At 42.5% G+C, this 15,847-nt stretch overlaps 2 annotated features.

Moving 5' to 3' along the window:
* Positions 14,047–14,546: an enhancer, noted in NCBI's record as "H3K4me1 hESC enhancer chr18:23408063-23408562 (GRCh37/hg19 assembly coordinates)". NCBI's record gives its function as "activates a minimal SCP1, AML or CMV promoter by ChIP-STARR-seq in naive H9 embryonic stem cells {active_cell/tissue: H9 hESC(naive)}" and the evidence as "EXISTENCE:reporter gene assay evidence [ECO:0000049][PMID:30033119]".
* Positions 14,547–15,048: an enhancer, noted in NCBI's record as "H3K4me1 hESC enhancer chr18:23407561-23408062 (GRCh37/hg19 assembly coordinates)". NCBI's record gives its function as "activates a minimal SCP1, AML or CMV promoter by ChIP-STARR-seq in naive H9 embryonic stem cells {active_cell/tissue: H9 hESC(naive)}" and the evidence as "EXISTENCE:reporter gene assay evidence [ECO:0000049][PMID:30033119]".

Here is a 15,847-nt window from a genome sequence, read left to right as displayed (position 1 = left end):
TATCAAAGGCAGGGATTTTTAATCTGGAGTTCATACACTGGCCTCTGATGTGTCAGTGAATCCCTGTGGCCAAAATACGTTTCCCTGTGTATATGGGTGTGTGCTTTTTCCTGGGGAGACGACCCATTGGTTAAGAAAGAGTGTACTAGGTTTTTAGGAGAAAATCAAGTGGCAAGAGGGTTGGGTTGTCCCTACCAAGATGGAAGGAATGGCAGAGAAAGTGTTTTGGTACAGTTTGTACCATAGGGAGGAGGTGCTGAAGCCGGCTGTTCAGCCACTGGAGTCAGGTGGGGAGTCACTTACCATCAGAGAGCTCTGTCCATTGGCAGCATCATGCCAGCCAGCAGGGACTGCAGCAGGCCCATCCCAGGAGGATGGATGCTGGCAAAATGGTGGGGATATGGACTGCAGCTCCAAACTCAGAGAGGCATGTAAAATTATTTTATTTTCTAAAATACAATTCTATTAGAACCTCTATCACTTTGTGCTGGTAGTGAATTTAATCTCAATTATTTCAGAGTTTCCCCCTCTCTAGGGCCATTAGATGGTTCTAGAGGGTTGACACAATTTCAAGGCCTGGAGAGACCTTGTGGATATTGGTCACATGTCTCCCTAAGCCATTGTTGAGATGGCCATTGTCCAGTCTGTGCCTGGGCAACTAGGAAGGTAACTGGTGAGAGTGATGGGACTCCTGGGGAGTACGCATGGGAGGTGGGCATGGGGTTGATGGCAGGGAAAGCTGACCCTGAGGAGTTTGGGAATCTAGGAACTGGATATGATAAATGAACAGCAAGGGAATTTGGAGGAAAGGTGTGAACCCAGCAGTTGTATCTGGGCCTATCGCTAGTTCAAGGTGATGCCCTGTGTGTTCAGGGTGGCCTGAGACAATGGATAGACTTTTGGCTTTAGGTAGAATTGGCTCAGGAATTGGGGTGGAATTGAGTCTGAAAATGAGGGTCATTATAAACCTCCCTGTGAAGGACAAGAGACATGACTGCACACACCAGGAAGAGCCTGTACATGCATAAAAAGCTTGGGTGTCCATCAGATCATAAATTTACATTTATCTTGAATGGTGATGGCCTATTTCAGAAAAAAGTTAACTTGCCTCAAACTTCAGTTCTATCTTTCCTCCAACTATTGGATAGACATATCACACTTTGGGATCTTTTAAAACAGCATGAGTAAAGTTTCTGTCTAAAGTAGGAAGGTTTTTTGACTGTAAATACCTTGGAGCCAACAGTCATTACCAAGGGTAACAAAATGTAGAGCAAAAATAGCAAAAACCTTGAGAGTAATGATGGTGTCTATAGACACCTTGAGCCCCTTGGTTGTTGTGTTACGTCAGTACTGATCATTGCTACCTTCATCATTTATTATATTTAGAAAATGAAAACCAGCTGAATGAAAATGATGCCTTTACTCCAGCCACCTGCCACTTAAGGAACCTGGAGGATCAGACATTAGGGAAATTTCATGACATCCCAGGATAAACCAAGGCATGTAAGGATTAAGCAATTTGTTCCAAGTCCAGCTGTGGCTCAGTTGTGGAGAAGAGGCTAGGGCCAGTGGTGTTCCTATTTCCCAGCTCCTTTCTTGCCTTAAGTGTTTAGATGCCACAATGCCTCCCTCCTCCCAATCTAATAAAGTGTAATAGTTTCCAAATATGCACTCTCTTTTTTCTTTATTTATTCCTTTTCCCTTGTTCCTTTTCTTTCAAATGAGTGCAGTTCCTCTTGGAGTAATATTTATATTTTTATCCTTGCTTTGTAGTTGGGGAAATGTGGTTGAGAGCTTTGGCAATGCCCTTGTCTGAGGCAGGGCAAGAGGGAAATGTGCCTGGGATTTATTTTCAACCTCAGATGCCCAGATTATATAATATTCAGAGCAATGTCCTTTGAAAAGTGTGTCTCTTGGAGGCTTCTGGCTCTCTCAATGCATTAAGAGCAATGCTTTTCTACTTAAGAAATGATTTTAAAATCCCCTTTCAACCAGTATCCCAAATGAAATTTCACTTCCATTCAAATAAACTAGGGTTAGAAATTTTAGGATGGGTGCATTAGGAGGTCTGGACACATGAGGGTAGCTGGGGAAATACATGTTAGGGAAGCAGGGGCAATGAATGGGGACTTCATATCCTAATGGTAAATGTAAAATGACTTATTGTAATATATTCCTCCAGTTAATGGCTCCATTCTCACCAGAGCAATTTCTGAAAGGATTTAGTTTTTGTCCCTACTGCTACTGGTCTTGATTTTTGCATAACAAGTATAGCACCAACAATAGCTTCTAAACATACTGCTGTTGCTGGGTGCCAGGCACTATTCTCCATGTTTTAACTCAATATCACAACTACCTTATGAGCCATATATTACAGGTTGAGTGTCCTATCTGAAATGCTTGGGACAAGAAGTGTCTCCGATTTTAGATTGTTTCAGATTTTGGAATATTTGCATATACATAATGAGATATCTTGGGGATAGCATCTGAGTCTAAACATGGAATTCATTTATGTTTCATATACACCTTATACACATAGCTTGAAGATAATTTTGTACAATATTTTAAATCACTTTGTACATGAAACAAAGTTTGTGTTAAGTGTGGAATTTTCCATTTGTGGCACCACGTCAGTGTTCAAAAAGTTTCAAATTTTGGAACATGTTGGATTTCACATTTTTGGATTAGGGATGCTCAACTGTATTATCTGCATTTTACAGATTATAAACTGAGGCACAGAAACTCCAAGTGAATGCCTCTAATTTCACACAGCTGATGAGTGTGAAAGACAGAATTGAAACCTGGGCAGCTGGCTCCAGTCTTGAATCTTCTCTAGATTGCATGGCTAGTCTCTTGGTTCCTTTGGGAGTTACCTCATCTCTTCTTTTTTTCTCTACACCCAATCTGAGTGTAGAGAATTTTCTCACAACACTCCTTCCTTTCTATTCAAACTGCTATTAAAGTCTCCACTATTTCCCTCTGGCCTCCAGCACCTCATCATCCATCCAGGCAGCACATTTATGCTTTCTAAGACATTGCCCTCAATGTAGCTGTCCTCTCACCACAAATCAAAAATGGTTCCCAGTCTCACATTCACAGAGGAAAGTCCCTCTCCTGGCATTGTAGGCCATCCCCGTATGCTGCCAACCCAACTTTCTAACCACATCTCCCATTGTCCCTGCATTGGCAAGTCCAGGAAGGGATTGAACCTGCCAATGCATTTCTGTCTGTGCCTTTGCTCTGCTTGCTTGGAATATCTGTCCTTCTCATCACCATTGTATGTCTTTTTATTCCTCAAAGCTAAGCTGAACCCTCAACTTCTCTTTAAACTTGCCCATCTCTGAACTCCTTCAGAACACATTTATCAAACTTGTGTTTTTCTTAAGATTCTCTTTGTGGCTATTGTAGCTCAGGGACTGAGATGGAAAGAAAAGCTTGTATGTGAAAAACTCCCATTTCAGGTGCATTTTTCCTCTGTTTTGAAAAGACAGAAGGCCATAATATTGGAGATTCAGATGGTGATTGTGTATTGGTTCAAAAGAGTTCATGAGTGAAGAGATAACTTTGTACTGGCTAACTGGATGGACCCAACTGAATGAACCCAACTGTGACAGTGTTGTGATTTATTGTGCTCCTGCCCTGCAGTTAGCTAACATAGTTGAGTTAAAAGGTAATTAGATATTTTATCCTCTGCCTATATTCTAGGAATGTGTTGGCCAATGAGAGAGAAGTGCCCTTTTTCTGAAGCAATGGGAAGTGGGAAGCCAGTTTTCCTTGATGGATAAACTGAGACTGGGGGACATAGGATCATTTCTGAGCCCTGGTCATATGCAGAGACTGCTGTAGAGGCTATTATCTCTATTGTCAAGATGATGCCCTAAGACAAAACCTTATTGTCCAGCATCCCCTGGGAAGGAGAGACAGGGATCTTTGAAGCTGAACTTCAACCATATTTTTTGTCATGTTAGTCATCTTTTCAAATGCATTTACTATTCTCCTTCCCTAGACTGCTCTTCCTGTCATGGTATAAACAGTAATGTTAAGCCTTTGTGCACCTGACACAATTTTAGCACAGTGCTTTGTATGTATGTATTACATACATACATTAAGCAGTAGGTGCTTAATGGATACATTTATTGATAATGGTCAGATCAATGAATTCTATCTTCTTTCCAGACCAATCCAAACTTAATGATCTTCATGCTTGGAGAACTCTTGCTCAACTTTAGACACTATTCTTGTGTCCTTAACACACCTTGAGAAGCATGGCTTCTGCTGTTATTTTATTTTACTTTTGCCTTTTCCACATGTTCTAACGGCTGTTTTATTTTTGAGGCAGCATGTGAACAAAAACACAGAAAGCCAGCTGCCTCAACATTCAAATGAGAGTGCAAATTCCTACTATAAGAGGTGTGGTTATATACTTACTCAAATGCTCACATTGTAAGAAGGAATATAGAAGAATTCCTAAAGATGCCCAGATAAATGGCAGTGAACTCAAAATTCATATATGTTTGTTGAAAGATGCCATGGAAAAGGAGTTTTGATTCTGCAACCACAGTAGGAAGCAACTCGGTTGACTTGGGAGAGTTTTTAAAGGTCTATTACTTCAACGTAGAGATCTGACTGACATAAAGCCTGTGCATTTTATTTATGTATTCATTCATTTATTTATTGAGACAAGGCTTGCTCTGCTGCCCAGGCTGGAGGTCAGTGGCACAATCTTAGCTCACCGTAACCTTGAATTCCTGGGCTCAAGTGATCTTCCCATTTCAGTCTCCTGAGTAGCTAGAAATACAGGCATGCACCACCATGCCTGGCTAATTTTTATTTTTTTCGTTGAAATGGGGTCTTTCTATATCCTAGGCTGGTCTTGAACTCCTGGTGCCTAGTGATCCTCCTGCTTCAGCCTCTCAAAACACTGGGATTACAGACATGAGCCACTGTGGCTGGCCAATGCTGTGCATTTAAAGCAGGCCCAGTGCAGCTCTGTGCAAAGCTATTTTAATTGAGCTGGCTGAGTACAGGGAATGAAGTGTCCAGAGGTGAGCTCCAGGGCCTCGGCCCTCTGTGAGGCTTGCTTCTTTGAGGCAGGCTTGGCTCTTTGTCAGTATTTCTGCTGAGCTCAAGGTGTGTTTATAGAATTGATGCATGTGTTCCCACAAAGCATTTTGAAATTTTTTGAGCAAAAGTTTTCTTCAAACATGTCTACAGAGCTGAGATGAATTTACACATCTATGAATTTCTAGCCAATAAATTCCTAGTGTGAGTTTGCTCATTATTTGTTCATTCATTATTCATTCATTTGTTCATTCATTAATTCATTCAGTGTGCTAAATTCTGAAGCTATAAAAGATGAATGAGATCAACTTTCCTCAAGAATTTTATTACCTAGACAAGGAAGACAGTCACTTACAGAAATGCACTAAAATGTTATAGATGCTGATGAAAGTAGGTATGAGATTCCCCATGTCAATGAAAGAGAGGGAGACAGGAAGGGAGGAAGACTGGCCACTGGGATATGAGGATGGTCAAAGTAATATTCATTGAGGAAGCAATTCTCAGACTGAGCCTTATAAAGATAATGATCAGGTAAACAAGTGAGTAGGCATGTGGAGAAGAGGGCAGAAGCCATGCCAGTGGGAGGGATGAGATATGGAAAGAGTAAGAGACAAGATGATATGATCGATGGGGGTTTCCTGGCCCTCCTTTGGTGTGGAATGGCTGGGGAGGAAAGCACAATGCAGGAGGTGGTAAGAGGGGCTGAGGGGGTTTCGGGTCACACTCAGAAGGGTCTTGTGTGCCCTACTCAGGAGTCTGTACTTTGTTGTTTAGACATTGGAAGTTGTTTTTTTTTTTTTTTTTGAGATGGAGCTTGCTCTGTTGCCCAGGCTGGAGTGCTGTGGGGTGATCCTGGCTCACTGCAACCTCTGCCCCCTAGGTTCAAGCAATTCTTCTGCCTCAGCCTCCCAAGTAGCTGGGACTACAGGCGTGCCACCACGCCCAGCTAATTTTTTTGTATTTCTAGTAGAGATGGGGTTAGGAACAAGTAAACCCAGTGACCAGATATTGGTTTTTAAATATGTGTTAGCCAGGTTGGTCTTGATCTCCTGACCTCGTCATCTGCCCGCCTCGCCCTCCCAAAGTGCTGGGATTATAGGCGTGAGCCACCGGGCCTGGCCCTGTTTGTTTTTAAACTAAAGATTTTATTCACATTTTGTCAGTTTCCCCAAGAATGCCCTTTTCCTGTTACAGGATCAAATTCAGAATCTCACATTGCATTAACTGTCCCATCTCCTTACTCTTCTCCAATCTGTGGCCATTCCTCAATCTTTTCTTATCCATGACTTTGACACTCTTGAGGAGTCTGGGTCAGGTATTTGTAACATGTCCCTCAATTTGGGTTCATCTGATATTGTGTCATGATTAGCCCAGGCTTATGGATTTGGGGGAAGAATGCCACAGAGGTGAATTGCCCTGTCAGTGCATGGTATCAGGGGATACGTGAAATTAACACAACTTATTACTGGAGACATGAACCATGACCACTGGTTAAGGTGATGTCTGTCAAATTTCTCTACCACAATGTTACTCTGGTTTGTGTGTGTGTGTGTGTGTGTGTGTGTGAGAGAGAGAGAGAGAGAGAGAGAGAGAGAGATGGGGGTCTCACTCTGTCACACAGGCTGGAGCATAGTGGACCAATCATGGCTCACTGCAGCCTCGACCTCCGGAGCTCAAGTGATCCTCTTCCCTCAGCCTCCTGAGTAACTGGCACTACAGGTGTGCACCACCATGCCCAGCTAATTTTTGCTATATTTTGTAGAGACAGAATTTCGCCATGTTGTCCAGGCTGGTCACGAACTCCTGGACTCAAGGATTTGCCTATCTTGGCCCCCCAAAGTGCTGGGATTACAGGTGTGAGACAACACACCCGGCTACGATGATATTCTTTTTCCCTTTTCTTACTCTGTTTTTTAGAAGTCACTAAATTCAGCCCACACTCAAAGGGAGGGGTGTTAAGCTCCACTTCCTGGAGAGAGGAGTATCAAATAATTGGTGGACATATGTTAAAACAACCACAGTAATTAATAAATATTATAGAGGAGATAATTTGAGGCTATGCAGATATCTTGTTTCTTCTTAATATTTCACCTCCTAATTTTAGTATTCATCAGTGAATCTTGCCTGAAGCAATCATTACTGTGGTGTCCTAATAGTGATTTTCCTCTTTATTATTCCTTTTACATTTATTATTTGGAATTCTTCTGTAAGGAATATTTGTCCTTTCTTCTTCACTTATTTATTTATTCAGTCATTTATTTATATCAGTATGGACTCACAGATACTCATTTAATTCTTTGGATATCCTTTGGGTTATAACCAATGCTAGTGTTAATTATTTTGTTTCTTCAATCATTCTTGCTCTGGCCATTGGGAATTCTTTGAGGTTGTCTCCTGTGTCATTTTGACCTGCCCTTGTCATTGTGGCTGTGGTGTCTCTGAGTGTGTTTTGTGCACTTCCTTACCTTCTGGCATTGCAAGATGCTCCAGGCTCATATTGTGTATGTTGTATCTTCCCTGTCTCAGCCCTGGAATCAGCCATTTCTCCAGAGAGGCTTGGTTGCATATATTGAAGAATGGTATTTAAAAACCAATATCTGGTCACTGGGTGTGATTGTTGCTGCTGTGTCACTGCTTCTAAGTTTTTAAGTAAAGAAATAATATAACTGTAATTGGAGAATGTCCTGGCAGGCAATTGTCAGGGGATACTGCAGGAGACGGTGAGGACACCATGCTGATTGATTGCCCTGGCAAGACAGGAGGATGTACTGAACCTCGGCAGTGGCAGCACCAGTGGAAAGGAGGGTGAGGGAGTTTGTGGCTCATCTAGACATTGGTCTCCAGCAGTTATAGCCTGAGTCCTACTCTGCTACTTGCCGGCTATGACCTTGGACAATATGAATGTCCTTGGACAAGTCATTCGACCTTTCTTTGCCTTAGTTTCCTCATCTAAAAAAAAAAAGCTAACAACACCTGTTGAGAGAATCAAATGAAAGAAAATGTGAAAATCCTTGGCGATTCCAAATCACTGTCCCAATGGGAGGAACTTCAGTGTAACAGCTTTTCCCTATGCTTTTTTTGCTAGTGAGGGTCTAGCTGCTTAGGGAGGCAAAGGAGAATGGGTATTGTCATGGCACAGGCAGGAGAAAATTGCCTAGAAAAAGGCTGAATACATCCAGCCAATCTGGGTGTAAACCAGAAATCTGCAGGTCCCGGGGGAGCAGAGCAAAGCCATAGAACGTATGCAAGGCAGCAGTGACCAGCAAAGGGTGACAACCAGGTGGGAGCTTTTGCCCAACAGCTTCTGCAGAGTTCCCAGGGCGTTCAGGGGTGGTTCCCCAAGCATGGCTGGCCTGGGGCAGTGCCGCCTGCTTTAGCCAGGCACCACGAGGCTATAGAAGGATGTTCATCGGAGACGCTTGACTTCACTGGGGCAAAAAAGGTCACAAAGCATATTTCTGCTCACCCTTGCAAATTAGGATGTATGGTCTGGAAATGACTTTTTCTGATTTGTACTTACACGGTGTGGAAAACATAACAGTATGCCCTTGTGCTGTAGCCCAATATCCCAGGCTGCAGAGGTCTTGCTGTTAGCTAGCCAAGCGCCCACTCTAAGACCCAAGATGTCTTGTGTTTGAGATTTAAGTAATGTATTCCAAACCATTGTGGAGCCCTCAAGGAGGGCTTGAGAAGTGAGTGGTTTTTCTGTTCTGTTCCACGCCTAAGCCTCCCACTGTTTATCTCAGAAGTGTGGGCCCTGGTCCAGCACCCTCACCATAGGCAGAGGGACTTCCTCCTCCCTTCTTCCCATCCCCTTCTCCCCCATCCCTCCTGGGGGCCTTTCCTGTGTCCTTCATCTCCTCCTTGGTTCACTATGCTCAGGAGCTCGCTTCTTGTTCCCTTGCTCTCTGGCTTCTCACTACCTCTCAGGACGCTGAGGGAGGGCTGGGGTGGGGTGAGGCGGGGAAGATGTCTTTAGTGGTTCTGCCCTTGGGATGAATTATCTGCAAAATAATTACATCTTCCCAAGGCACAGGCTAACAATCCTGTGGGGAATTAGGCTGAAAGGGGCCTCGGTGTCTTCCAGCAATATTTGTTTAGTATGTGCAACTCCTAGGAGGAGGAAGAGAGAGGAAAATATACATTATTTCTAAAGAATAAGATAATACCTAATTGTCTTAGGTTATTTGGACTGCGATAACAAAATGGCTTAGCTTGGGTAATTTATAAACAACAGAAATTTATTGCTCACAGTTCTGGAAGCTGGGAAGTCCAAGATCAAGGCGCTGGTACATTCCGTGTCTGGTGAGGGCCCACTTCTCACAGATGATGATTCTAGCTGTATCCTCACATGGGGAAAGGGGCCAACAAGCTCCCTCAGGCCTCTTTTTTTTCACAGTTAAAAATTTTTGGTTGACACATAATTATACAAATATATTGGTTACAGTGTGATATTTCAATACTTGTATGCACTGCATAGTGATCAAATTAGGGTAATAAGCTTATCCATCACCTAAAATAGTATCATTTCTTCTTACTGGGGAGATTCAAAATTCTCTCTTCCAGCTATTTGAAAATATAGAGTAAATTGTTGTTAACTATAGTCACCCTACAGTGCTATAGAATGCTAGAACTCATTCCTTCTATCTAGCTGTAATTTTGTATCCATTACCCAACTTCTCCCTATCCCTGCCTTCCCCTACCCTTCCCAGCCTCTAGTAACCACTATTCTACTCTCTACTGTGAATCAACTTATTTACCTTCCACATATGAGTGAAGATGTGCGATATTTACCTTTCTGTGTCCCTCAGGCCTGTCGCATCGAAGCACTAATCCCATTCATGAGAGTGGAACCAGCATGACCTAATCACGTCCCAACGGTCCCCTCCTTTAATACTACCACATTGGAGAGTAGGTTTCAACATATGAATTTTGGGGACCACCAGCATTCAGACCATAGCATTGAGTGTGTTCAATATTTGAGGCTCTTTGTGCATGAAATAGTCTCAGTATTCCCATCATATAGGCACCATTATTATCCTCATTTTATCAATGGGGAAACTGAGGCTCAGAGAGGTGAAATAACTTACCCATGTCTCACAGCTAGTAAGGGACAGAGCAGGGTTTCAAAATCAGGTCAATCTCTCTTCAGAGCCTACACAATGCCTCCATACAAAGCTACAGAATGATATCTCATATGGTAAGAAATTCTAGGATGGATGTGCATGTCTGAGATCAGAAATGTCTGAGAAAATTGGGGATAAGTGGGTGCCACGAGAGAGGGCATCTGCATCTGAGTAACAGACAGATAGACAGCAATCTGGACAGAACCAAGGCCTGGCTGGGGAGGCAGTTCTGCTGCCACATGGGGGCGCATGACCCCATTCCCTGCACTGCTGGCTATGGCTCCCGAGCCCACTATTTTTCCTTACACAACCTAGCAACTGTTCTTCCACAGCTGCTCCTTTGGTTCAACTTTCCAATACAGCATAGTCTTTTACATAATTTAGGGACTTCTTTAATTTGCTGGGTTTATAGTCCAGAAGGTTTCTAGGGGAAATTTCTTGTAAGTGGGCACTTGAAGTCCAAGGCCTAATGATTTCTCTTTACTTTTTTTTTTTTTTGGTCTCTGAACCTGGATAGGAATGATCTGTTGACATTTTGATCATATAGAGGACATACCAAATTTTGCATTTGCTGAAAGCAGAAAATATTTGCATGCAAAAGAACCAGAAGGTTTGAGATATTCACATTGTACATACCTAATATTTTGAACAAATACCTTTTGCTGCGTAGTAAACAAACCCAAAACTTATTGGCTTAAAAACAACTTAATATCATCTCTCCAAATTCTGTGGATTGACTGGACTCAGCTGAAAGATTCTTGCCAGGAGTGTCTCATGTGATTGAAGTTAGACACAGCTGAGGCTGGAATCAGTTGAAGGCAGGAGACTCAAGTGGCTTCTTCACCCCCATGTTTGGCACTGCAGCTGAAGGCTGGCTTGGAGGAGGGCAGACCAGACATTTTTCTCTTTCCATGGGTCTGTCCTTAGCATGTTGTCACAGGGTAGTTGGACTGTGACACACTAGACAGCTTCCCCCAGAACAAAATCTTCAAGGTTGCTTATGACATAACTTTGGAAGCCATTCCAAGTGATTCTGTCACATTCTCTGGATCGCACGTTCTCTGTGGAAAGGGACTATATATTACTCATGAATGACAGGAGGCGTGATTCACTGCGGGGGGCGGGGGCATCTTTGAAGAGTGATTACCTTAGTTTGCACCCTGCTGCCAATAATTCATGTCCCTCCACGTGCAAAATACACTCACCCCTCCCCATAACACCCTGTCCTCCTCCCCAAATCTTGTTTTATTTAGGCATCAGTCTCATTATCTATTCTATGTAACAAATAATCCATGACCTATTCTCATTACCTATTGCTATATAACAAAGCACGCCATAAGTTAGTGTCTTAAAAACAACTACCACTTTATTATTAGGATTCTGTGGATTGTTAGAGCTCTGGGCAGTTTTGCTGCCTGTAATCTTGGCTCAGGCTCTGGCCATCCAAGGCTTGGCTGGGCTGGAAAGTGCAGATGACTCACTACATGGCTGGCCTTTGAGACTTGCAGTCCAGGTCTTTAACAGAATGAGAAGCATGGGTAGCCCTAGGCTGTGCCTTGTGTAGTTCAGGACTGGTTTGGACCTCTGTCTGGGCCACAGTCAGACTAATCTCAGCCAGTAGACACGTGACTTGCAGGAGATTTCCTTCAAGCTGAATATATATATAATATATATAAAAATATATAAAATATAAAATATATAATATATATAAAATATATAATATATTAAAAAATATATATATAAAATATATATATTTTGTAATTGGTTGGTAGGGCTACAGGGCACCCAGAACTGAATGGGTGAGTACTTCCAATGGCTATCTTGCACACTCACCCTTACTTCAGCCTTCACTAGCTGCTTTAGAAATCACCATGGTGTATATTTTCTCTCTTTCACTCATGTGCTTTCTGTCTTCCGTTCATGGTGACCAGCAGTGAGAAGATTTGGTGGAAAATGTGTATATCGTAAAGGAAACCCATTAATGCTCAACCATTGCCACAATTGCCAGTGCTCCCCCACTCCATCCAGCTAACAAGAACTGTTAGTATCTTGTTTGCCCTCTTGTTACAATCCATAAACGTATGTGGAGTTTGCACAGTTAATCTTGGAGAGCACCTTGCTAGATATGGTGAGAACCAGAAATAGTTCTCCACCCTGAAGGGCTTATTGTACCATAAGGGAGAAAAGACGAATGTACAAGAAACTTTATCATGTTGTGATAAAGAATGAGGGCTGTAGGAAAGTTACAAAAACTCCATGTTGTAGGAGGTCAGAGGACAGAAGAATTCCACTCCCGTATTCTGGCTTTGACTCTCCTTCTAGCTCTAAACAGATGTTTACATTTCACACTCCACTTTCCCCATATAGATAATAAGGAAAACATAACTCCTTTTACAAGTATCACCGAGGAGCAGTGAGAGTCTGTGACAAGGTATCTGTAAAGGTTTGGGATTTTATTTTTGTAGAGTCCAAACACATCTTTAACCTTACAGGTGCTTGGGATGGAAAGAGGAGGTAGAGTGGTTTAGATATGTGTATGTACATGTGTATATGTGCGTGTGTGTGTGTGCGCATGTGCATGTGTGTGACAGTCATGCTCCAAATGAGGCCTCAGGGGGTAATAAAAAGAGGGCCTGCTGGGACCACCAATTTCTTTTTCCCATCTGTGATGGCTGGGGCCCTGTGCTTCACACTGGGAAGGGTATTACTGAACTCTCCTCAGTCTTGTGGTGCGGTCGCCTTTAATTCATATTTGCATGTGTCGTGAGACCAGCCAGGCAGCTGAACACTGCCCAGGAGTGGAGCTTGTGATGATGGAGAGAAATGAAATCACTGTTTAATGAGAATTGGTGAGATAAGGTCCACAGATGGACCATTCGGAGGGCTGTGTTTGAACCACGGTATCCCATTCATTTTATAATACACCTTACTGTGGGCTTAAATTGCATTCTTGGAAAATTTAGCCCAGCATGACTAGTTCTTGTTAGAATAGCATCACTCACCTAATGTTGTGTTCAATAAGCCTGTTGCATAAAAGGTTATCATGTAATTTTTATCATTATAAGTCTCCAGTGCTTCCAGAACTTACCTTCAAAAGAGTGAAAATGATATTTCATATATCCACAGTTGTATTTCAAAGTAAGTTCTAAAAAGCCACATGCCTCAGTTTACCCTTTGGAATTTGCCTATCTTTTTTTTACAGCGTTATTGTTATAAATCAACTTTCTAAAAGAATATACCAGTGATATTTGCCTATAGCTTTCAAGCTTTGATTAATGTTTTAATGGTGTTTGTCCCTATTTTAATCCATGTAGTATATTGAACTAAGCCTGGGGTTTAGAGTTAGATGAGCTAGGGTCTGAATCCCAACTCTTCCCAATTACTAGCTGTGATGATGGTTAAATCACATAGTGATTCTAAGCAATCATTGTCAATGGAGTTGAAAGGATTTAAATTAAGGTAGGTACAAAAGGCATAGCACACTGCCTATCACATAGTATGTACTCAATAATCAATTTCAGCTATTATTATTGTCATCAGTAAGAATGACAAAATGTGTGCTTTAGACCTCTAAACAGCTTGACTAGATCTTTCTCTGAAAATTTCACCTTGCTTTGTTTCATTTGTATCTGCAGAGTCGCTGTTCTTATCAGAAGAACCATTATGCACAGCTAATTTCAGGTTCATGAGTTCTTAAGCACAGTGGGAAACTAATAAATCAATTAAACATATATTTCATAAGAGATTGCTATATTTATATGTGCATACATAAATATAATTTTAACAATGAAAAGTAGCTTGTCATGAATAGTTTATTTCATGAGATAAAAATAAAAGGAAAACAATAAACACTACTTCAAAATGCAATGCTATGTAACACAGAAATGAAATTCCACAAGATCTTGTGGTTCTCTGTGTTACATTCAAAAAGAGTAACAGATAACAAGATGGCTGGCCACAATGTGAGATATACTGTTGGAGAAAATTGTCCAGTGTTTTGAAAGGAAAGGAAAAGCCTTCTAGGAATTTCTCATCACAGAGAATTTAGACTGAAGGAATTTGCCACGGTGTTTTCTGAATAGCCTTAGAATTTTATATTGGATTTAAAAATTGGGTTAGGGAGGGAGTGGCTCCTCAGAATGAAGCTTTTCCAGGCTCCCTTTTACTTTGTTTTTGCCTGGGGCATTATTTTTTGTTTGCCAAGACCAGCTGCTTCCTCGCTAGCCAGGTTTCCGTTTAGTGGCCCAGGGCGGCTTCTCTGATGTCGGGGAATTTGCCCCTCTGAGGTTGGAGCGGGCAGCTGTGTGTCCCCAGGCTGGGCGAGGGGGCTGAGCTGCCTGGAGGCCTGGATGGCTGCATTCTGCTGCCGCACTTTCACCGGTATCTCTTCGCGGATCTTCAACAAATGTGACCTCTGCCAACCTCGTCTGAGCTCATCAGCTCTGCTGCCTCTGGGACCCAGGAGGGAGACAAAGGGGGCTGGGTCAGCGTTGGATGCCAGCTATTTTTTTCCACATGGTCTCTGGGAACAGTTAACTAATCATATCAGACCCAAAAATGATTTAAACCTTTCCTAGCTACTAAGCACGGGAACTGTTGCTGGCACACAAACAAATCCCAAACTATCTCAACATGATAACACAAGCTTTTTAAATTTTAGAGTAAAATGTATCATTAATCAACCATCAACAAGTATTCATTCATTTATTATGTGCTGTGCTCTGTGATGTGGGGGAGACAGAGTGGAAAGCTCAGCCTTCTCTGAACGAGCAGGTTGGATCATTGTGGGTAAAGCTGGTCCTCCACCCATCCTGGATGGACCCCTTTATTACAGAAATGTTGTTAGGGGTTGAATTGCATCCCCTGAGATTTATTTGTTGAAATCCACACTTCTCCCTCCCCTGTACTGCAGAATGTGACCTTATTTGGAAATCGAGTTGTTGCAGATACAGTTAGTTCAGGTGAGTCATACTACAACAGGGTGGCCCCTAATCCAATATGACTGGTGTCCTTATAAACGGGGGAAATTGGGACACAGACATGCACACAGGGAGAATGCCATGTGGACACTGGAGTTATGTTGTTCTAAGCCAAGAAACTGTCAGAGCTGGAAGAGAGGCGAGAGCAGATCCTTCCCCAGTGTCTTCAGAGAGAGCAGGGCCCTACTGACACCTTGATTTTGGATTTCTGGCCTCCAAAACTGGGCGAAAACACATTTGTGTCTTTTAAGCAACTATTAGTATTACTTTGTTATGGCGTCCCTAGCAAACTAATACAAATGCGAGGCTATGTGTCCACCCAATTTTATTGGGGAAAACTGTCAGCTTGCCACTGACTTGGAGCACAGTCTGGGCAGCCTCTTCTCCGTTCAGCTGATGCTCAGCCCCAATGTCACCACTGAGACGGGCCTTCAGGACTGCCTTACCTAAGCAGGCCCTGCGCTCTCCATCCCAGCACCTTGCTTCATTTCCTCTCTGACTCATCACTACCTGAAACAACCTTGCTTATTTTTCTTGATTTTTAAAAACTGTCTATTTTCCACACCAGAGCTTCTGCTCCAGCAGGCTTCTGTCAGTCTGTCCCATGCTTGGCACATAGTAGGTGCTCAAAAAACACTTGTTGCAAGAAGAAACAAATGAAGAGGTAAAGCTTCATTTGGG

This window comes from Homo sapiens, chromosome 18 (assembly GCF_000001405.40).
Source record: "Homo sapiens chromosome 18, GRCh38.p14 Primary Assembly".
Taxonomy (NCBI): Eukaryota; Metazoa; Chordata; class Mammalia; order Primates; family Hominidae; genus Homo; species Homo sapiens.
The sequence above is the reverse complement of the archived record's forward strand: the minus strand, read 5'-3'. Positions and strand labels throughout refer to the sequence as shown.